General features: G+C 39.6%; 4 annotated features.

Moving 5' to 3' along the window:
- Positions 13,135–13,827: an enhancer, noted in NCBI's record as "OCT4-NANOG hESC enhancer chr10:42798247-42798939 (GRCh37/hg19 assembly coordinates)". NCBI's record gives its function as "activates a minimal SCP1, AML or CMV promoter by ChIP-STARR-seq in primed H9 embryonic stem cells {active_cell/tissue: H9 hESC(primed)}" and the evidence as "EXISTENCE:reporter gene assay evidence [ECO:0000049][PMID:30033119]".
- Positions 14,519–15,345: an enhancer, noted in NCBI's record as "OCT4-NANOG hESC enhancer chr10:42796729-42797555 (GRCh37/hg19 assembly coordinates)". NCBI's record gives its function as "activates a minimal SCP1, AML or CMV promoter by ChIP-STARR-seq in primed H9 embryonic stem cells {active_cell/tissue: H9 hESC(primed)}" and the evidence as "EXISTENCE:reporter gene assay evidence [ECO:0000049][PMID:30033119]".
- Positions 15,388–15,889: an enhancer, noted in NCBI's record as "NANOG hESC enhancer chr10:42796185-42796686 (GRCh37/hg19 assembly coordinates)". NCBI's record gives its function as "activates a minimal SCP1, AML or CMV promoter by ChIP-STARR-seq in primed H9 embryonic stem cells {active_cell/tissue: H9 hESC(primed)}" and the evidence as "EXISTENCE:reporter gene assay evidence [ECO:0000049][PMID:30033119]".
- Positions 16,777–17,604: an enhancer, noted in NCBI's record as "OCT4-NANOG hESC enhancer chr10:42794470-42795297 (GRCh37/hg19 assembly coordinates)". NCBI's record gives its function as "activates a minimal SCP1, AML or CMV promoter by ChIP-STARR-seq in primed H9 embryonic stem cells {active_cell/tissue: H9 hESC(primed)}" and the evidence as "EXISTENCE:reporter gene assay evidence [ECO:0000049][PMID:30033119]".

The raw sequence follows: 25,018 nt of genomic DNA, 5'->3' as shown, positions 1-25,018 counted from the left end.
GAATGGAGTGGAATGGAATGGAATCGAATGAGATGAACACGAAAGCAATGGAATGGACTCGAACGGAGGGAAAGGAATGGACTCGAATGGACTGGACTGGAATGGAATGGAATGGAATGGACTGGAATGGAACAGAATGAAATGCAGTGGAATGGACATGAATGGAATATAATCAAATGGAATGAAATGGATTCGAAGTGAATGGAATGGAGTGGACTCGAATGGAATGAAATGGAATTGAATGGACTTGAATTGAACGGAATGTAATGTTATGGAATAGAATAGAATGGATTGGAATGTAACGGAATGAAATGGAGTCGAATTGAATTGAATGGAATGGAATGCACATGAATGGAATGGAATGGCATGGAATGGAATAGAATGGAATGGAATAGACTAAAATGGAATGGAATGGAATCGAATGGACTAGAAAGGAATTTAATGGAATGGAATGGTATGGTCTCGAATGGAATGGAATGGACTCGGATGGACTGGAATGGACTAGAAACTAATGGAATGGAATTGAAACAAAGTGAGTAGAATGGAATGGAATGGAATGGAGACGAACGTAATGTAATGTAATGTAATGGAATGGAATGGACTCGAATGGAATGGAATGGAATGGAACTGAAAGGAATGTAATGTAATGGAATGGAATGGACTCGAATGGAATGGAATGGAATGGAACTGAAAGGAATGAAATGGAATGGAATGGAAAGGACTCGAATGGAATGGAGTGGAATGGACCCGAATGGAATGGAATAGAATGGACTCGAATTGAATGGAATGGAATGGACACGAATGGAATGGAATGGACCTGAATGGAATGGAATGGACTCGAATGGAATGGAATGGACTCAAATGGTATACTAGGGAATTTAATGGAATTTACTCTAATGGAATGGAATGGAGTGCACTCGAATGAAATAAAGTGGACTGGAATTGAATGGAAAGGAATGTAATGGAATGGACTCGAATGGAATTGAATGGAATTGACTCAAATGGAATTGAATAGAATGGACTCGAATGGAATGGAATGGAAAGGAATGGAATGGCAAGAAATGGAATAGACTCGAATGGAAAGGAAAGGTATGGAGTGTATTCGAATGGAATGGAATGGAACAGACCTGAAAGGAATGGGTTGGAAAGGAATGCTCTCAAATGGAATGGAAAGGAATGGAGTCAAAAGGAGTAGCATGGAATGGAATGGACTAGAATGAATGCAATGGAAGGGAAAGGACTCCAATGGAATGGAGCGGACTCGAACAGAATTACATGGAATAGACTCGAGTGGAAAGGAATGGAATGGAATATACTCGAATGGAATAGAATGGAATGGACTCGAATGGAATGGAATAGAATGCACACGAATGGAATAGAATGGAGCAGACTTGAATGGAATGGAGAGCAATGGAATGGACTCACATTGAATGGAGTGGAATGGAATGGAATGGAAAAGAATGGAATGGAATGGAATGGAATGGCATGGAATTGACTCAAATGGAATGGAATGGTATAGAATGGAACAGAAGGGAATGGCATTTATTCGAATGGAATGGAATGCAATGGAATGGAATGGAATGGACTCAAATAGAATGGAATGGAATGGACTTGAAAGGAATGGATTGGATTGGAATGGACTCGAATGGAATGGAATGGAATACACTCCAACTGAGTAGAGTGGAATGGACCCGAATGGAATGGAATGCAATGCAATGGACTCTAATGGAATGGAATGGAATGGACTCGAAGGGAATGGAATGGAATTGAACAGACTCAAAAAGAATGGATTGGAATGAGATGGAATGGACTGGAATGGAATGGAATGGAATTGACTCGAATGGAATTGAATGGGAAGGACCCGAATGGAATAGTGTGGAATGCAATGGAATCGAATGCAATGGAATGGGGTGGAATGGACTCGAATGGAATGGAATGGATTCGAACGGAATGGAATGGAGTGGACTCGAATGGAATGGAATTTAATGGAATGGAATTTAATGGAATGGACCCGAATGGAATGGAATCAAATCGAATGGAATGGAATGGAATGGAGTGGAATGGACTCGAATGGAATAGATTGGAATGGAATGGAGCCGAATGGAATGCAATGTAATGGAATGGAAAGGAATGAACTTGAATGGAATGCAGTTGACTGGAATGGACTCGAAAGGAATGGAATGGAAAGGAATGGAATGGTATGGAATGGAATGGAATGGACTCGAATGGAATGGAATGGAGTCAAATGGAATGCAATGGAATGGAATGCACTCTAGTGGAATGGAATGGAATGGAGTGGACTCGAATGAAATGGAATACAATGGAATGGATTCGAATGGTATGGAATGGAGTGGACCAGAATGTAATGGAATGGAAAGTAATGGAATGAACTGGAATGAAATAGAATGGAAAGGAATGGACTCGAATGACATGGAATGGAATGGAAAGGACTCGAAGGGCATGGAATGGAATGGTCTCGAATGGAATGGAATGGAATGGTAAGGACTCGAATGGAATGGAATTAAGTGACTTGGATTCCAATGGAATAGAATGGAAGTACCCGAATGGAATAGATTGGAATGGAATGGAATGGAACGGAATCGAATGTAATGGCATGGAATGGAATGGACTCGAATGTAATGGGCTGGAATGGAATGGATTCGAATGGAATGGAATGGAAAGGAATGAACTCCAGTGGAATTGAATGCAATGGACACTAATGCAATAGAATGGAATGGACTCTAATGGAATGGAATGCAATGGATTAGAATGGAATGGAGTGGAATTCAGTGGACTCGAAAGGAATGGAATGTAACGGAATGGAATAGACTCGAATGGAATGGAAGGTAACGGAAAGGAATTGACACGAATGAAATGGAAGGTAATGGAATGAAATGGACTCGAATGAAATGGAACAAATGGACTCGAATGCAATGGAATGTAATGGAATGGAATGGAACAGAATAGAGTTGAATAGAAGGCAGTTGAATGGAATGGACTCAAAAGGAATGGAATGGAAAGGAATGGAATGGAATGGAATGGATTCGAATGGAATGGAAGGGACTCAAATGGAATGGAATAGAATTGACTCAAGTGGAATGGAATGAAATGGAGTGGACTCGAATTAAAGAGAATGCAATGGAATGTACTCGAATGGAATGGAATGGATTAGACTTGAATGGATTGAATGGAAAGGAACGGACTGGCCTAGAGTGGAGTGGAATGGAATGGACTCGAAGGGAATGGAATGGAATGGACTTGAATGGAATGGACTGGAAGGGAATGGAGTGGAATCGACTAAGGTGGAATGGAATGGAAAAGAGTGGACTCGAATGAAAGGGAACGCAAAGAAATGGAATCGAATGGAATGAAAAGGAATGGACCCAAATGTAATGGAAGGGAATGGAATAGAATGGACTCGAATGAAATGGAATGGAAAGGAATGGACTGGAATGGAATGGAATGGACTAGAAGGGAATGGAATGGAATGGACTCGAATGGAATGGAATGGACTCCAACGGAATGGAATGGAATGTAACCGAATGGAATGGATTGGAATGGTATGGACTCCAATGGAAAGGCATGGAATGGAATGGCATGGAATGGAACGGACTCAAATGTAATGGGATGGAATGGAATGTATTCAAATGGAATGGAATGCAAAGGAATTTACTCCAATGGAAAGGAATGGAATGGACCAGAAAGCAATGGAACGGAATTGAATGGAATGGAATGGTATGGACTCGAATGGAATGGAATGGTATTGAATGAAATGGACTTGAATGGAATGGAATGGACTTGAATGGAATAGAATAGAATGAAATGGAATGTATTCGAATGGAATGGAATGGAATGGAATGGAATGAACACGAATGGAATGGAATGGAATGGACTCAAATGGAATGGAATGAAATGGAATGGACTCGAATGGAATTGAATGGAACGGAATGGAAAAGAATGGACTCGAATGGAATTGAATGGAATGGAATGAAAAGAATGGACTCGAATGGAATGCAATTGATTGGAATGGACTCGAAAGGAAAGGAATGGAATGTTATGGAATGTAATGGAGTGGAACGGAATGGAATAGAATGGAATGGACTCGAATGGAATGCAATGGAATGGAATCGACCCTAGTGAAATGGAATGGAATGGATTGGACTTGAATGAAATGAAATGCAAAGGAATGGACTTGAAAGGAATGGAATGAACCCGAATGTAATGGAATGGAAAGGAATGGAATGGACTCAAATGAAATGAAATGGAAAGGAATGGACTCGAATGGCATGGAATGGAATGGAATGGAATGTACTCGAAGGGAATGGAATGGAATGGACTTGAATGGAATGGAATGGACTGGTAAGGAATCAAATGGAATAGAATTGAATGGAATGGACTCCAATGGAATGGAATGGAAGTACCCAAATGGAATGGATTGGAATGGAATGGAATGGAATAGATTGTAACGGCATGGAATGGAATGGACTCGAATGTAATGGGATGGAATGGAATGGACTGGAATGGAATGGAATGGAAAGGAATGGACTCCAATGGAATAGAATGGAATGGACCGAATGGAATGGAGTCGAATGGATGGAATGGAATATAATGGAATGAAATGGACAAGAATGGAATGGAATTGTATGGAATGGAATGGACTTGAATGGAATAGAATGGAATGAAAGGGAATGTACTCGAATGGAATGGAATGTAATGGAAGTGAATGGAATGGATTGAAGTCGAATGGAATGGAATGGAATGGCATGGACTCGAATGCATTGGAATGGATTGGAATGGAATTGAATGGAATTGAATGGAGTGGAATGGAAAGGATTGGACTCGAATTGAATGGAATGGACTCAAATGGAATGGACTGGACACGAATGGAATGGAATGGATTTCAATGGAATGGACTAGAATGCAATGGAATGGAATGTTATGGAAAGGAGTTTAATGCAATAGAATGGAATGGAATGGATTGGTATTGAATGGAATTGAATGGAATGGACTCGAATAGAATATAATGGACTCAAATGGAATGCAGTGGAATGGAACGGAGTTGAATGCAATAGAATGGAATTTACCAGATTGGACTCTAAGGGAATGGATTCTAATGGAAAGGAATGCAATGGATTCGAATGGAATATAATGGAATGGAATGGAATGGAATGGAATAGAATGGAATGAAATGGACTGGAATGGAATGGAATGAATGGAATGGAATGGAATGGACTCGAAAGAAACGGAATGGAATGGACACAAATGGAATGGAATGGAATGGACTCGAATGGAATGGAATGGAATGGAATGGACTCAAATGGAATGAAGTGAAATGGACTTGAGATGAATGCAATGGAAAGGAATGGATTCGAGTGGAATGGAATGGAATGGAATTCACTCAGTGGAATTGAATGGAATGGACTCGAATACAATGGAATGGATTGGAATTCACTTGAATGGAATAGAATGGAATGGAGTCGAATGTAATGGAATGGACGCGAATGGAATGGAATGGACTCGAATGGAATAAAGTGGAATAGACTCGAATGGAATGGAATGCAATGGAATGGACTCGAATGGAAAGGAATGGAATGGACTCGAAGGGAATGGAATGGAATGGATTCGAATGGAAAGGAATGGAATGGACTCAAAAGGAATGGAATGGAATGGACTCAAATGGAATGGACTCGAATTGAATGAAATGTAATGGAATAGACTCGAATGGAATGGAACGAAATTTAATGGAATGGAATCTAATGGATTGAAATGGAATGGACTCGACTGGAAGAGAATGGAATGGACTCGAATGGAATGGAATGCAATGGATTCAAATGGAATGGAATGGAATTCAAAGGACTGCAAAGGAATGGAATGTAACACAATAGAATGTACTCGAATGTAATGGAATGAATTGGACTCGAATGGAATGGAATGGAATGGACTCGAATGGAATAAAATGGAATGGAACGTAATGGAAAGGAATAGACTCGAATGGAATGCAGTTGAATGCTATGGACTCGAAAGCAATGGAATTGAAATGAATGGAGTGGAATGGAATCTAATGGAATGGAATGGACTCGAATGGAATGGAATGGAATCGAATGGAATGGAATGGAATCGACTCGACTGGAATGGAATGGAATGGCATGGACTCGAATGAAAGGAAATGCAATGGAATATACTCGAGTGGAGTGGAATGGAAAGGACCGGAATGTTATAGAAGGGAATGGAATGGAATGGACTTGAATGGGATGGAATGGAAAGGAATGGATTCGAATGGAATGGAGTGGAATGGAATGGACTCAAAGGCAGTGGAATTGAATGGACTGGAATGGAATGGAAGGGAGTTTTATGGAATAGAATGGAATGCAATGGAATGGATTGGACTCCAATGGAATGGAATGGGATATACCCAAATGGAATGGAATGGAATGGATTGGAATGGAAAACAATGGAATGCAATTGACTCGAATTTAACGGCATGGGATGGAATGTACTCGGAAGTAACGGGATAGAATGGAATAGACTCGAGTGGAATGGAATGGAAAGGACTGGACTACAATGGAACGGAATGGAATTGACCCGAATGGAATGGAATGGAATGAAACGGAATGGAATGGAACCGAATTGAATCGAAAGGAATGGAATGGAATGTTATGGAATGGAATGGACTTGAATGGAATAGAATGGAATGAAATGGAATGTACTCGAATGGAATGGAATGGAATGGACCCAAATGCAATGGAATCGAATGGACTGAACTTCAATGGAATGGAATGGAATGGACTCGAATGGAATGGAATGCATTCGAATGGAATTGAATGGAGTGGGATGGAAAGGAATGGACTCGAATTGAATGCAGTTGAATGGAATGGAAACAAAGGAATGGATTGGAAAGGAATGGAATAGAATGGAATGGAAAGGCATGGAATGGGATGTAATGGAAAGGCATGGAATGGAATGGAATGGAAAGGAATTCAATCGATGTGAGTGGAATGAATTGAAATGGAGTGGACTTGAATGTAATGGAATGCAATGGAATGGACTCGAATAGAATGGAATGGAACCGAATGTAGTGGAATGTAATGGATTGGAATGGAATGAACTCGAATGGAATGGAATGGAAAGGAATGGAGTCGAATAGCATGGAATGGCATGGAATGGACTTGAAGGGAATGGAATTTAATGGAGTGGACTCGAATGAAATGGAATGCAATGGAATGGACTCAAATGGAATGGAATGGAATGTTATGTATTCGAATGGAATGGAATTGAATGGAATGGGCTCCAATTCAATGGAAGGGAATGTACATCAATGGAAGGGAATGTACATCAATGGAATGGAATGGAATGGAATGGAATGGAATGGAATCGAATGGACTCGAATGGAATGACATCAAATGGAATGGACTCGAATGTAATGGGATGGAATGGAATGGATTCGAATAGAATGGAATGAGATGGAATGGAATGGACTCCAATGGAATGGAATGGAATGGACCCGAATGCAATGGAATGGAATGGAATTGAATGAAATGGAATGGACCCGAAAGGAATGGAATGGAATGGAATGGAATGGACCGAAATGGAATGGAATGGTGTGGAACAAAATGCAATTGAATGGAATAGAATGGAATGAAATGGAATGTACTCGATTGGAATGGACTGGAATGGATCCGAATGGAATGGAAAAGAATGGATTGAACTCGAATGGAATGGAATGGAATAGAATGGACTCAAAAGGAATGGATTTGAATGAAATGGACCCGAATGGAATGGAAAGGAATGGAAAGGAATGGACTTGAATGGAATGGAATGGACTCGAATGGAATGGAATGGAAAGGACCCAAATGTAATGGAGGGGAATAGAATGGAATGGACTCGAATGGAATGGAATGGAAAGGAATGGACTCGAATGGAATGGGATGGAATGGACTCCAATGGAATGGAATGATATGTACCCGAATGAAATGGAATACAATGTTATGGAATGTAAATGAATGTAATGGCATGGAATGGAATGGACTCGGATGTAATGGGATGGAACAGAATGGACTCGAATGGAATGGAATGGAAAGGAATGGACTACAATGGAATGTTATGGAACGGACCCGAATGGAATGGAATGGTATAGAATGGAATAGAATGGAATGGAATGGAATGGAATGGAATGGACTGGAATAGAATGGACTTGAATGGAATAGAATGGAATGAAATGGAATATACTCGAATGGAATTGAATAAAATGGACACGAATGGAATGGAATCGAATGGATTGAACTCGAATGGACTCTAATGGAATGGAATAGAATAGAATGGACTCAAATGAAATGGAATTGAATAGAATGGAATGGAAAGGAATGGAATCGAATGGAATGCAGTTAAATGGAATGGACTCGAAAGGAATGGAATGGAAAGGAATGGAATGGAAAGGAAAAGAATGGAATAGAATGGAATCGACTGGAGTGCAATTGAATGGAATGGAGTTTACTCGAAAGAAATAGAATGCAATGGAATGGACTCGAATAGAATGGAATGGAATGAACCCAAATGTAATGGAATGTAATGGATTGGCATGGAATGGACTTGAAAGGAATGAAATGGAAAGGAATGGACTCAAATGGCATTGAATACAATGGAATGATCTCGAAGGAAATTGAATGGAATTGACTCGAATGGAATGGAATGGTAAGGATTTGAATGGAATGGAGTTGAATGGAATGGACTCTAATGAAATTTAATGGAATGTGCCCAATTGGAATGGAATGGAATGGAATGCAATGGAATGGTATGGAACGTACTTGAATATAATGGCATGGAATGGAATGGACTCGAATTTAATGTGATGGAATGGAATGGATTTGAATGCAATGGAATGGAAACGAATGGACTCCAATGGAATGGAATGGAATGGGATGGAATGGAATGGAAATCAATGAAATGGACTGGAATGGAATGGAATGATATGAAATGGAATAGATTTGAATGGGACACAATGTAATTAAATGGAATATACTCGAATGGAATGGATTGGAAAGGACCCAAATGGAATGGAATGGAATGGATTAAACTCAAATGGAATGGAATGGAATGGATTCGAATGGATTGGAATGGAATGGAATGGACTCGAATGGAATTTAAAGTAATGGAATGGAAAAGAAAGGAATGGACTCGAATGCAATGGAATGGAATAGAATGGAACCGAATGGAATGGAATGGAAAGGAATGGGTAGGAATGCAATGGAATGGAATGGAATAGAAAGGAATTGTGTGGAATAGAATGGAATGGAATGGATTGGAATCAAAGGGAATTAAATGGAATGGACTCAAATGGAATGGAATGGAATGGACAGAAATGGAATGGAGTGGAACGGAACAGAGTTGAAAACAATAGAATGGAATTTAGAGGATTATACTATAATGGAATGGACTCTAATGGAAAGGAATGGAATGGACTCGAATGGAATAGAAAGGAATGAAATGGACTCGAAACTAATGGAATGGAATGGACAAGAATGGACTGGAATGGAATGGTGTGAAATGGAGTGGAATGGAATGGAATGGAATGAATGGAATGGAATGGAATGAATGGAATGGAATGGAATGAATGGAATGGAATGGACTTCAATGGATTCGAATGGAATGAAATTTATTGGACTCAAATGAAATGGAATGGAATGGACAAGAATGGAAAGGAATGGACTCCAGTGGAATAGAATGGAATGGAATGGACTCGAGTGGAATAGAATGGAATGGAATGGACTCGAGTGGAATTGAAAGGAATGGAATTTACTCGAATGGTACGGATTGGAATGGACTCAAATGCAATGCAATGGACTGGAATTCACTTGAATGGAATAGAATGAAACGGAGTCGAATGTAATGGAATGGACATGAATGAAATGGCATGGAATGGAATGGACGCGAATAGAATAAAGTGGAATGGACTGAAATGGAATGGAATGAAATGGCATGGAATGGAATGGACGCGAATAGAATAAAGTGGAATGGACTGAAATGGAATGGAATGAAATGGAATGGACTCGAATGGAATGGAATGGAATGGACTCAAATGGAATGGAATGGACTCGAAAGGAATGGAATGGACTGGACTCGAATGAAATGGAATGCAAACGAACGGGCTCTAAAGGAAGGGAATGGAATGGACCCAAAAGTAATGGAAAGGAATGGAATGGACTCGAATGGAATGGAAGGGAAAGGAATGGACTCGAATGGAACGGAATGGAATGGAATGGAGTCGTATGGAATGGAATGGAATGGAGTCGTATGGAATGGAATGAAATGGACTCGAATGGAATCGAATGGAATGTTATGGTCTCGAATGGAATGGAATTGAATGGAATGGAATCCAATGGAATGGAATGGAATGGAATGTATACGAATGGAATGGAATAGAGTGGAATGGAATGGACTCTAATGTAATGGGATGGAATGGAATGGACTCTAATGTAATGGGATGGAATGGAATGGACTCAAAAGTAATGGGATGGAATGGAATGGACTCGAATGGGATGGAATGGAATGGACCCGAATGGAATGGAATGGACTCCAATGGAATGGAATGGAATGGACCCGAATGGAATGGACCAGAATGGAATGGAATGGAATGGAAGGGACCGGAATGGAATGGACCCGAATGGAATGGAATGGAATGGAATGGAATAGTGTGGAATGGAATGGACTTGAATGGAATAGCATGGAATGAAGTGGAATGTACTCGAATGGAATGGAAAGGAATGGACCTGAATGGAATGGAATTGAATGGAATGGAAAGGAATAGACTCTAATGGAATGGAATGAACTCCAGTGGAATGGACCCGAATGTAATGGAAGGGAATAGAATGGAATGGACTCGAATGGAATGGAATGGACTCCAGTGGAATGGACCCGAATGTAATGGAAGGGAATAGAATGGAATGGACTCGAATGGAATGGAATGGACTCCAGTGGAATGGACTCGAATGTAATGGAAGGGAATAGAATGGAATGGCCTCGAATGGAATGGAATGGAAAGGAATGTACTCGAATGGAATGCAATGGACTCGAAAGGAATGGAATTGAATGGACTCATATGGAATGGAATGGTATGGAATGGAATGGAATGGAATGGATTCCAATGGAATGGAACGGAATGGAATGGAATAAAATGGACTCGAAAGGAATGGAATTGAATGGACCCAAATGGAATGGAATGGAATGGAATGGTATGGAATGGAGTGGAAGGGAATGGAATGGACTCTCATGGAATGGAACGGTATGTACCTGAATTGAATGGTATGGAATGGACTTGAAAGTAATGGCATGGAATGGAATGGACTTGGATGTAATGGGATGGAATGGAATGGCCTCAAATGGAATGGAACGGAAAGGAATGGATGACAATAGAATGGAATGGAATGGACCCGAAAGAAATGGAATGGTATGGAATGGAATGGAATGGAACCGAAAGCAATGGAATGGTATGGAATGGAATGGAGCAGAATGGAATGGATTGGATTGGAATGGAATGGAATGGAATGGACTCAAATGGAATAAAGTGGAATGGACTCGAATGGAATGGAATGCAATGGAATGGACTCACATGGAATGGAATGGACTCGAATGGAATAGAATGCACTCGAATGGAATGGAATCGAATGAAGTGGACTTGAATGAAATGGAATGCAATCGAATGGACTGGAATGGAATGGAATGGAATGGACCCAAAAGAAATGGAATGGTATGGACTTGAATGGAATGGAATGGACCCGAATGGAATGCAGTGGAATGGAATGGAATGGAGCCAGATGGAGTGGAAAGGAATGGAGTGGAATGGAATGGAATGGACCCAAATGGAATGCAATGGAATGGAATGGAATAGAATGGAACGGAATGGAATGGAATGGAAAAGAATGGAATGAAATAGAATGTACTGGAATGGAAAGGATTAAAATGGACCAGAATGGAATGGAATCGAATGTATTGAACTAGAATGGAAAGGAATGGAATGGAATGGAATGGACTCGAATGGAATAAAGTGGAATGGACTCGAATGGAATGGAATGCAATGGAATGGATTCAAATGGAATGAAGTGGACTCGAATGAAATGGAATGCAATCAAATGGACTCGAAAGGAATGGATTCGAATGAAGTGGACTCGAATGAAATGGAATGCAATCAAATGGACTCGAATGGAATGGACCCAAAAGTAATGGAATGGTATGGAATGGAATGGAATGGAATGGACCCGAATGGAATGCAATGGAATTGAATGGAATGGAGCCGAATGGAGTGGAATGGAATGGAATGGAATGGAATGGAAAGGAATACAATGGAATTGAAATGAATGGAATGGAATGGAATGGAAAAGAATGGAATGAAATGGAATGTACTTGAATGGAATGGAATCAAATGGACCCGAATGGAATGGAATCGAATGGATTGAACTAGAATGGAATGGAATGGAATGGAATGGACTCGAATGTAATGGAATGGAATGCAATGAACTCGAGTGGAATGGAATGGAAAGGAATGGAATGGACTGAATGGAATGGAATGGAATGGAATGCACCCGAATGGAACGGAATGGACTCGAATGGAATGGAATGGAAAGGAATGGACTCGAATGGAATGCAGTTAAATGCAATGGACTCGATAGGAATGGAATGGAAAGGATTGGAATGGAATGGAATGGAATGGAATAGAACAGAATCGACTCGAGTGCAATGGAATGGAATGGAATGGACCTGATTGAAATGGAATGCAATGGAATGTACTCGAATAGAATGGAATGGAATGAAACCGAATGTAATGGAAAGGAATGGATTGGTATGAAATGGTCTCGAATGGAATGGAATGGAAAGGAATGGACTCGAATGGCATTGAATGGAATGGAATGGACTCGAAGGAAGTGGAATGGACTCGAATGGAATGGAATGGAATGGTATGGACCCGAATGGAATGGAATTGAATGGAACAGACTCCAATGGAATTGAATGGAATGTACCCAAATGGAATGGAATGGAATGCATTAGAATGGAATGGAACGTACCCAAAAGGAAAGGCATAGAAAGGAATGGACTCGAATTTAATGGGAAGGAATGGAATGGACTCGAATGCAATAGAATGGAAAGGAATGGACACCACTGCATTCGAATGGAATGGACTGAATGGAATGGAAAGGAATGGAATGGAATGAAATGGACTGGAATGGAATGGAATAGTATGGAATGAAATGGACTTGAATGGAACAGAATGGAATGAAATGGTATGTCCTCGAATGGAATGGAATAAAATGGGCCCAAATGGAATGGAATGGAATGGATTGAATGAGAATGGAATGGAATGGAATGGAATGGAATGGGCTCGAATGGATTGGAATGGAATGGAATGGAGTTGAAAGGAATGGAATGGAATGGACCCGATTGGAAAGGAATGCAATGGAAAGGAATGGACTCGAATGGAATAGAATGGAATTGAATGGACCTGAATGGAGTGGAATGGAAAGAAATGGACTCGAAAGCATTGGAATGGAATGGACTCAAATTGAATGGAATCGAATGGAATGGAAAGGAATGGAATGGAATGGAATGGTATGGAATGGACTCCAATGGAATAGAATGGATACGAATGGAATGGAATAGACTTGAATGGAATAGAGTGGGATTTAATGGAAAGGACTCTAATGTAATGGAATGGAAGGGAATGGACTCGAATGGAATGCAATGGAAGGGACTCGAATGGAATAGAATGGAATTTAGTGGACTTGATTAAAATGGAATGGAATGGAATGGACTTGAATGCAGTGGAACGGAGTGGACGCGCATGGAATGGAATGGCATGGAATGGACTTGAATGGAATGGAATGAAATGGAGTGGACTTGAATGGAATAAAATTGAATGGAATGGAACGGACTTGACGGCAATGGAATGGAATGGACTTGAATGGAATGGAATGGACTCGGATAGAATGGAATGGAATTTAACAGAATGGACTGTAATCGAATGGAATCTAATGGAAAGCAAAGAATGGACACGAATTGAATAGAATAGAATGGACTCGAATGTAATGGAATGCAATGGAATGGACTAAAATGGAATGCAGTGGAATGGAATCGAATGGAATGGAATGGAATTGACTCGAATGGAATTGAAAGGAATGGAACCAAAAGAAATGGATTGGAATGGAATAGACTCGAATGGAATGGAATGGAATGGAATGAAGTGGAATGGACTCAAATGGAATGGAATGGAATGGACTCGAATGGAATGGAATGGAATGGAATAGAATAGAATGGAATGGAATGGACTTGAGAGGAATGGAATCGAATTGAATGTACTCAAATGGAATGGAATGGAGTGGAATTGACTCGAACGGAATGGACTGGATGTGAATGGAATGGAGCGTAATGGAATGGACTTGAATGTAATAGAGTGGAATGGATTGTAATGTAATGTAATGTAATGGAATGGACTCGAATGGATTGGAATGGAATGGACTCGAATGGAATGGAACGGATTTCAATGGACTCGAAAGGGATGGGATGAAAAACTCTAATGGAATGGATTGGAATGGAATGGACTCAAATGGAATGAAATGGAATTCACTCGAATGAAACTGACTCAAGTGGAATGGAATGGAGTTTAATGGTAAGGATTGGACTCGAATGGAATGGAATTGAATTAACCCAAATGGAATAGAATGCAAAGAAATGGACTTGAATGGAATGTAAAGGAATGGAATGGACCAGAATGGAGTGAAATGGAATGGAATGGACGCGAATGGAATGGAATTGAATTAACCCGAATGGAATTGAATGAAAAGAAATGGACTTGAATGGAATGGAAAGGAATGGAATGGACCAGGATGGAGTGAAATGGAATGGAATGGACCCGAATGGAATGGAATTGAATGGAACCCAATGGAATGGAATCGAATGGAATGGAAAGGCATGGAATGGAATGGTATGAAATGGAATGGACTCTAATGGAATAGAATGGAATGGAATGGAATGCAATCAAAATTAATGGAATGGAACGAACACGAATGGAATGGAATCGACATGAATGGAATGGAATGGAACGTAATGGAATGGAATGGAATGGAATGGAATGGAATTGAATGGACCTGAATGGAATGCAGTTGAATTGAATGGACCTGAAAGGAATGGAATGAACTAAAATGGAATGCAATGGAAGGGACTCGAATGGAATGGAATGGAATGGAATGGAATGGACTCGAATGAAATGGCACGGACTCAAATGGAATGGAAAGGAAAGGAACCGACTCAGGTGGAATGGAATGGAATGGAAACGACTCGAGGGGAATGGAATGGAATTGAATGGACTCGAATGGAATAGAATGGAATTCATTGGTTTGGGCATTAATGGAATGGACTCTAATGGAATGGAAAGGAATGGACGCGAATGGAAAGAATGGAATGGAATGGACTTGAATGGAATGGAATGGACACAAATATAATGGAATGGAGTGGAATGGAAAGGACTTTAATGGAATAGAATGGAATGGAATGGAATGGATTCAAATGAAATGGAATGTAATGGAGTCAAATGGAATGAAATGGACTCGAATGGAATAGAATGGAATGGAATGGAATGGACTCGAATGGAATTGAATGGAATGGACTCGAGTGGAATGGAATGTACTCAATTAGAATGGAATGGAATGGAATTGACTGGAATGGAATGTAATGGAATGGAATCGAATGGAATATACTGGACACGAATGGAATGGAATGGAATTGAAAGGACTCGAATGAAATAGAATGGAATGGACTGGAATGGAATGGAATGCAATGGAATGGACTCGAATGATTTGGAATGGAATGGACTAGAATGGAATGGAATGGATTTGAATGGACTTGAATGGAATGGGATGGAATAAACTCTAATGGAATGGAATGGAATGGAATGAACTCGAATGTAAAGGAATAGAATCGACTCGAACGGAATTGACTTGAGCGGAATGGAATGGACTCTAATGGATTGGAATGGAATGGAATGGACTCTAATGGATTGGAATGGAATTATCATGAATGTAATGGAAAGAAATGGACTCGAATGGAATGGAAAGGAATGGAATGTACTCAACTGGAATGGAATGCAAAGGACTGAAATGGGAAAGAATGGAATGGAATGGATACAAATGGAATGGAACGGAATGGAATCGAATGGAATGGACTCAAATGGAATGGCATGGAATGGAATGGACTGAAATGTAATGAGGTGGAATGGAATTGACTAGAATGTAAGGGGATGGAAAAGAATGGACATGAATGCAATGGAATGGAATGGAATGGAACAGACTTGAATGGAATAGAATGGGATTTAATGGAATGGACTCTAAAAGAATGGAATGGAATGGATTTGAATGGACTGGAATGGAACGGAATGTACTCGAATGGAATGGAATGGAATGGACTCGAATGGAATGGAACGGAACAGACTTGAATGGAATAGAATGGGATTTAATGGAATGGACTCTAAAAGAATGGAATGGAATGGATTTGAATGGACTGGAATGGAACGGAATGTACTCGAATGGAATGGAATGGAATGGACTCGAATGGAATGGAACGGAACAGACTTGAATGGAATAGAATGGGATTTAATGGAATGGACTCTAAAAGAATGGAATGGAATGGAATGGAATGGATTTGAATGGACTGGAATGGAACGGAATGTACTCGAATGGAATGGAATGGAATGGACTCGAATGGAATGGATTCGAATATACGCAAATGGAATGGAATGGAAAGGAATGAACTCGAATGGAATGGTATGGAATGGACTGGACACGAATGGAATGGAACGGAATGGAATGATTGAATGTAATAGAATGGAATGGATTCGAATGGAATGGAAAGCAATGGAATGGACTCGAATGGATTGAAATGGAATGGACTCAAATGCAATGGAATGGATTTGAATGGACTCGAATGGGATGGGATAGAATAAATTCTAATGGAATGGAATGGAATGGACTCGAATGGAATGGAATGGAATTAAGCTGAATGGAATGGAATGGAATTAAGACGAATGAAATGGAATGGAATGGAAAGAAATAGACTCGAAAGAAATGGAAAGGAAAGGAATCGACCAGAATGGAGTGGAATGGAATGGAATGGTCACGAATTGAATGGAATTGAAAGGACCCGAAAGGAAAGGAATTGAATGGAATGGCAAGGCGTTTAATGGAATGGAATGGAATGGAATGGAATGGAATGGAATGGAGTGGAATGGAATGCAATGGAATGGTATGGAGTGGAATGGAATGGTATGGAATGGAATGGACTCTAATGGAATAGAATGGAATGGAATAGAATGGAATCAAAATTAATGGAATGGAATGGACTCGAATGGAATGGAATGGACATGAATGTAATGGAATGGACCCGAATGGAATGGAATGGAATGAAATGGAATGGAATGGACTTGAATGGAATGCAGTCGAATTGAATGTACCCGAAAGGAATGGAATGGATTAGAATGGAATGGAATGGAATGGACACCAATGGAATGGAACGGAATGGACTCGAATGAAATGGAATGGACTCAAATGGAATGGAATGGAATGGAATCCACTTGAGTGGAATGGAATGGAATGGACTTGAATGGAATGGAAATGACTCGAGTGGAATGGAATGGAATGGACTCGAATGGAATGGACGGGACACGAATGGAATATAATGGATGGAATAGACACGAATGAATTAGAATGGAATGGACTCGAATGGAATGGAATGCAATGGAATGGACTCGAATGGATTGGAATGGAATGGAATGGAATGGACTCGAAAGGAATGGGATGGAATAAACTCTAATGGAATGGAATGGAATGAACTCGAATGTAATGGAATGGAATTGACTTGAATGGAATTGACTCGAGTGGAATGGAATGGACTTGAATGGAATGGAATGGAATACAAATGAATGAAAAGGGTTGGAATTATCACGACTGGAATGCAATAGAATGGAAAGAAATGGACTCAAATGGAATGGAAAGCAATGGAATGGACTCAAATGGAATGGAATGCAAAGGACTGAAATGGTAAATAATGGAATGGAATGGAGTCGAATGGAAATGAATGGAATGGACTCGAATGGAATGGACTCGAAAGGAATCTAACTGAATGGAATGGAATGGAATGGAATGGAATGGACTCGCATGGAATGCAGTTGAATTGATTCGAAAGGAATGGAATGGAATGGAATGCAATGAAATGAAATGGACTCGAATGGAATGGAATAGAACGGAATGGATACGAATGAAATGGAATGGACTCGAATGGAATGGAATGGACTCCACTTGAGTGGAATGGCATGGAATGGAAAGGAATGCAATGGACTTGAATATAATGGAATGGAATGGAAATGACGAGAGTGGAATGGAATGGAATGGACTCCAATGGAATGGACTGGACACGAATGGAATATTATGGATGGAATGGACACTAATGAAATAGAATGAAATGGACTCGAATGGAATGGAATGCAATGGAATGGACTCGAATGGAATGGAATTGATTTGAATGGACTCGAAAGGAATGGGATGGAATAAACTCTAATGGAATGGAATGGAATGGAATGAACTCGAATGTAATGGAATGGAATTGACTCGAATGGAATTGACTCGAGTGGAATGGAATGGACTTGAATGGAATGGAATGGAATAGACTCGAATGGAATGGGATGGAATTATCACGACTGGAATGGAATGCAATGGAAAGAAATGGACTCAAAAGGAATGGAAAGCAATGGAATGGACTCAAATGGAATGGAATGCAAAGGACTGAAATGGTAAAGAATGAAATGGAATGGAGTCGAATGGAAAGGAATGGAATGGACTCGAATGGAATGGACTCGAATGGAATAGACCCGAAAAGAATGTAATTGAATGGAATGGAATGGAATCGCATGGAACGCAGTTGAATTGAAATGATTCAAAAGGAATGCAATGGAATGGAATGGAATGCAATGAAATGGAATGGACTCGAATGGAATGGACTGGAATGGATTGGGATGGACTTGAATGGTATGGAGTGGAATGGAATCAACTCGTGTGGAATGGAGTGGAATGGAACATACTCGAATGAAATGGAATACAATTAAATGGCCTCAAATTAAATGGAATAGAATGGAATGGGATGGACTCAAATGGAATGGAAGGGACACAAATGGCATGGAATGAAATGGACCCGAATGGAATGGAATGGAATGGAATGAAATGGAATGGAATGGACATGAATGAAATGGAATGGAATGGAATGGAATGGAATGGAATGGGCTCAAATGCAATGGAATGGAATGGAATGGACTTGAATGGAATGGAATGGAATGGACTCGAAAGGAATGGAATGGAATGGAATTTACTCGAATGGAATAGAATGGAATTTAATGGATTGGACTCTAATGGAATGGAATCTCATGGAATGGAATGGAATGGACTCGAATGGAATAGAATGGAGTAGATTGGACTCGATTGGAATGGAATGCAATGGAATGGACTCGAATGGAATGGAATGGAATGGAATAGATTCGAATGGCATGTAATGGAATGGAAATGACTTGAGTGCAATGGAGTGGACTCGAACGGAATGGAATGCAATGGAATGGACTTGAATGGATTGGAATGCATTGGAATGGACTTGAAGGGAATTGAATGCAATGAAAAGGAACGGACTCGAATGGAATAGAATGGAATGGAATGTCCCGAAAGGAGGGGAAAGGAATGGAACTGACCCGAATGGAATGGAATCGAATGGAATGGAAAGGAATGGAATGGAATGGACTGGACTTGATTGGATTGAAAGAGAATGGAATTGAATGGAATGGACTCAAAAGGAATGGAATGGAATGGACTCAAATGGAATAGAATGGAAACGAATGGAATGGAATGGAATGGAAGAGTCTTGAATGGAATAGAATGGGATTTAATGGAATGGACTCTAGAGGAAGGGAATGGAATGGACCTGAATGGAATGCAGTGGAATGGACTCGAATGGAATAGAATGGAATGGAATGGAATGGAATGGAACAGACTCGAATAGAATGGAATGCAATGGAACAGAATGGAATGGACTGGACTCGAATGGAATTGAACAGAATGGAATGGGCTTGAATTTAATAGAATGCAATGGATTCGAATGGATTGGAAAGCAATGGAATGGACTCGAATGGATTGGAATGGATTTGAATGAACTCGAATGGGATGGGATGGAATAAACACTAATTTAATGTAATGGAATGGAATGGACTCGAATGGAATGGAATGGAATTCACTCGAAAGGAATTGACTCTAGTAGAATGGAATGGATTTGAATGGAATGGAATGGAATGGACTTGAATGGCATGGAATGGAAAAAACCAGAATGGAATGGAATGGAATGGAAAGAAAGGGACTTGAATGGAATGGAAAGGAATGGAAAGGACCCGAATGGAGTGGAATGGAATGGAATGGACCCAAATGGAATGGAATTGAATGGACCCAAATGGAATGGAATCGAAAGGAATGGCAAGGCATGGAATTGGATGGAATGGAAAGGAGTGGAATGGAATGGAATGGTATGGAATGGAATGAACTCTAATGGAATAGAATGGAATGGAAACTAATGGAATAGAATGGAATGGAATGGAATGGAATCAAAATTAATGGAATGGAATCAAAATTAATGGAATGGAATGGACTCTAATGGAATGGAATGCACACGAATGGAATGGAATGGAATGAAATGGACCCGAATGGAATGGAATGGAATGGAACGGAATGGAATGGAATGCAGTTGAATTTAACGGACCCAAAAGGAATGGAATGGAATGGAAATGAATGGAATGCACTCGAATGGAGTGGAATGGAACAGAATGGACTTGAATGAAATGGAATGGACTCGAATCAAAAGGAATGGAATGGAATGGAATGGATTTGAATGGAATAGAATGGAATGGACTCGAATGGAATGGAATGTACTCGAATGGAATGGAGTGGATTGGAATTGACTCGAGTGGAATTGAGTGAAAAGGAATGGACTCGAATGAAATGGAATGCAATGAAATGGACTCGAATGGAATGCAAAGGAATGGAGGGGACTCTAATCGAATGGAAGGGACAAGAATGGCACAGAATCGATTGGACCCGAATGTAATGTAATGTAATGTAATGTAATGTAATGTAATGTAATGTAATGGACACGAATGGAATGAAATGGAATGGAATGGAATGGAATGAAATGGAATGGACTCGAATGGAATGAAATGGAATGGAATGAAATGGAATGGACTCGAATGGAATGGAATGGAATGGATTCGAAAGTAATGGAATAGAATGGAATCGAATAAAATGGAATGGAATGGACTCGAATGGAATAGAATGGAATTGATTGGACTGGACTCTAATGGAATGGACTGTCATGGAATGGAATGGAATGGAATGGAATGAAATGGACTGGAATGGAATGGAATGAATGGAATGGAATGGAATGGACTGGCCAACATTGTGAAAACTCGTCTCTACAAAAATACAAAAATTAACTGGGCATGATGGCGGATGTCTGTAATCCCAGCTACTCGGGAGGCTGAGGTGGAAGAATTGCTTGAATCCAGGAGGCAGAGGTTGCAGTGTGCCAAGGTCATGCCATTGCATTCCAGCCCGGGCCACAGAGCAAGACTCCATCTCAAAAAAAAAAAAAAAAAAAAAAGAAAAGAAAAAAGAAAGATTCACTTTGAAATGCTGCATGCAACTATATGGCCACACATTGGAAAATCTAGAGAAAATGGGTAATTTTCTGGAAAAATATAAATGACCAAAACTAATCCAAGAAGAAATTTAAAATGTTAATAGACCAGTTACAAAGAAAGAATGTAAAGTGATTTTTTAAATCCATAATTTAAAAAAGTACTAGGGTTGCAAGAAGGATAATTCCAATGTTATTTAAAGTATCCCAAATATTTTTAAAAAAGAAAAACCAATTCATTTCACATAGGCAGTGCAGCATTAATATGAAAACCTGATAAACATAAGACAAAACTATAGGCCAGATGCCATGGCTTACACCTGTAATCCCAGCACTTCGGGAAGCCAAGGCACGTGGATCACTTAAGGTCAGGAGTTCAAGACCAGCCTGGACAATATGGCGAAACCCCGTCTCTACTAAAAATACAAAAATTAGCCCGGCTTGGTGGTGCATGTCTGTAATCCCAGCTTGAACCCAGGAGGCAGAGGTTGCAGTGAGCCAAGATCACGCCACTGCACTCCAGCCTGGGTGACAGAGCAAGTCTCCATCTCAAAACAAAAAAAAAAAAAACAAAAAAACCAAAACTATAGACCAATCTGACTTATACATATGAATGAATATTCTAAATAAAAACCCAGCACTTTTATCAATAATTGCAACAACAAAAAAGAGTAATACAGTATGCAAAGAGCATTGTATTTCAGGAATTCACGGGTATTTCAATATCAGTTAAGTATATTAACACAATTACATAATTGACATCAAAGAAGAGGAAAATGTGATTATATCAGTAGATGCTGAGAGGGCTATTGTTAAGATTAAACATCCACTCCTAATGAAGATTCTTGAGTAAAATAGAAATTGAAGGAAAGTGTCTAAACATAACCGCTATTTATGAAATGCCTACAAAACAAGTATTTTAAATCATAAAGGAACATTTCAAATAAAACAAGGAACCAGCAGGAATAGCTGCTGTCAGTATTTGTTATTAAAGATTATCTTGGAGGATCCATGAATGTAACAAGATTTTTAAATGAAATAATCAGTATAAATATATAGAAAGCTTTTTGTGGATATGATTATATGCCTAGGAAATCATAGAGATTAGGAAAAACAGAACTTTCAAATATTTTAAAGAGGAATATTGGTAAGGCATTTGGAAATAAGATCATAATACAAAATATATTAGCAATAAGCACCTTGAAATGCTAATGGTAAAAATATTCACAATAACAAAAATAATAAAGGTAAAATAAATTTACCAAGAAAGAAGATCTATAAGAAAAAAACTATAAAAATGTTACCAAAAGCTGTTGAATAAGAAACACATGGCCGGGCACGGTGGCTCACGCCTGTAATCCCAGCACTGTGGGAGGCCGAGACGGGCGGATCACGAGGTCAGGAGATCGAGACTATCCTGGCTAACACGGTGAAACCCCGTCTCTACTAAAAATACAAAAATTAGCCGGGCATGGTGGCGCGCGCCTGTAGTCCCAGCTACACGGGAGGCTGAGGCAGGAGAATGGCGTGAACCCGGGAGGCGGAGCTTGCAGTGAGTCGAGATCGCGCCACTGCACTCCAGCCTGGGCGACAGAGCGAAACTCCGTCTCAAAAAAAAAAAAAAAAAAAAAAAAGAAACACATGAGGCTAGGCGCAGTGGCTCATACCTGTAATCCCAGCACTTTGGGAGGCTGAGGCAGGAGGACTGCTTGAGCCCAGGAGTTCAAGACCAGCTTTGGCAAATTGTGAAACCCTATCTCTAAACAAAACAAAACAAAACAAAAAACTATTTGGGCTTGGCGCATGCTTATAGAACCAGGTACTTGGGAGGCTGAGGTGGGAGGTTGGGGCTTCAGTGAGCTGAGATCCCACAACTGCACTCCTGCCTGGTTGACACAGTGAGACCCTGTCTCAAAAAAACAAACAACAAAACTCTTGTAAAAGCATAAATCTCCTAAAATTATATATAAATTCAATTAAATTAACATTAGAATCACAAAAGCATTTTAAAATTGGATTAAATTATCTTAAAGTTCATGTAGAAGAATAGTCAGAAAATTGTACCAAAAAAAAGACTATTGAGAGGAACTTTTCTCACCAGATATCAGCACCTACTATAGAACTATTGGAATTGATCAATTAAGAAAAACAATTGTATTAATTAAGAATAAGCAAGAGTGGTAAAAAATTGAGAATCTACATGTAGATGAAAAATTAATATATGAAAATAAACAATTCAAAGAAAACAAAATTGGACCCTCAATTTACACTGAAGGCTTTGAAGTGATACATAAAATGATTTTTAAAATGATTTAAATACGTACGTAAATGGAGAGAGGAAGGGTGGGAGAGAAGCGGGAGAGAGAGAAAATAGAAGACTAAAGACAGGAACACCTATGTGGAAAAAGATAACACTTAATGACGAAATATGTTGTATGTGAATATCAGTTATACATAATAAATATTGGGGACATTGCGCTGTGGGTTACAGTAAAGCATTAAGAAACAGAGTAAGTGAATAAAAAAAGGAAAGAAAACTACCAAATTCCATGTGTGATACCCCGTTTTGAAATTACATAAATTAAACGTGTACACATAAGAAAATTTTAAACATTAAAATTTTGTTAACAAAATGGATTTGATGACACGAAGGCCATTGATGACCTTACCCACAGCAGCTTTGTTTAAATGGGGATTAAGGATGGAGCAAAATTTTTATTAGAACACTTTGAATAATGAATTAGCAAACTACAATAAACTGAAATCTTACCTACCAAATAATCTCAGTAAAGTAAACAAATCTAAAAGAAATGAATAAAACAATTATGAGCAAAAAAGGATAGAGTCACTGCATATAATGTAAATGAGACAAGGATGGCCTCTGTGTATTGGCGCCTAGGTTATTTCTTCACAGCAAGCTGAAACCCATTAGCTCAAAAACCAACTGGCACCAAACTCAAATTTTTAAACATCCAATTGTGTTAAACATAGCCCAGACATGCATATTTGTAGGCATTTAGAGCCTGCCTGATTTACATGCCCTGGGAAACTACATCCAAAATCTGCTTGCCACAGATAAACTCTAGGCTGTAAAGACCCCAAACTGCTTCTGCTCTTTGGAACTCTGTGAACTACAGACTCCATGCCATGCTGCTGAGTGATATCACTGAGACATGAAAGCCTCCTCTCTGATCCTTTCCTCCCTCAGGAGTTCCTTTGCCCTCCTCCCTTTCTGAGTGGTGGCCCCCTTGTCTCAATCCTCTGGTCC

This window comes from Homo sapiens, chromosome 10 (assembly GCF_000001405.40).
Source record: "Homo sapiens chromosome 10, GRCh38.p14 Primary Assembly".
Lineage (NCBI taxonomy): Eukaryota > Metazoa > Chordata > Mammalia > Primates > Hominidae > Homo > Homo sapiens.
Note: the sequence above shows the minus strand (reverse complement) of the source record. Positions and strands in the feature narration are given on the sequence as shown.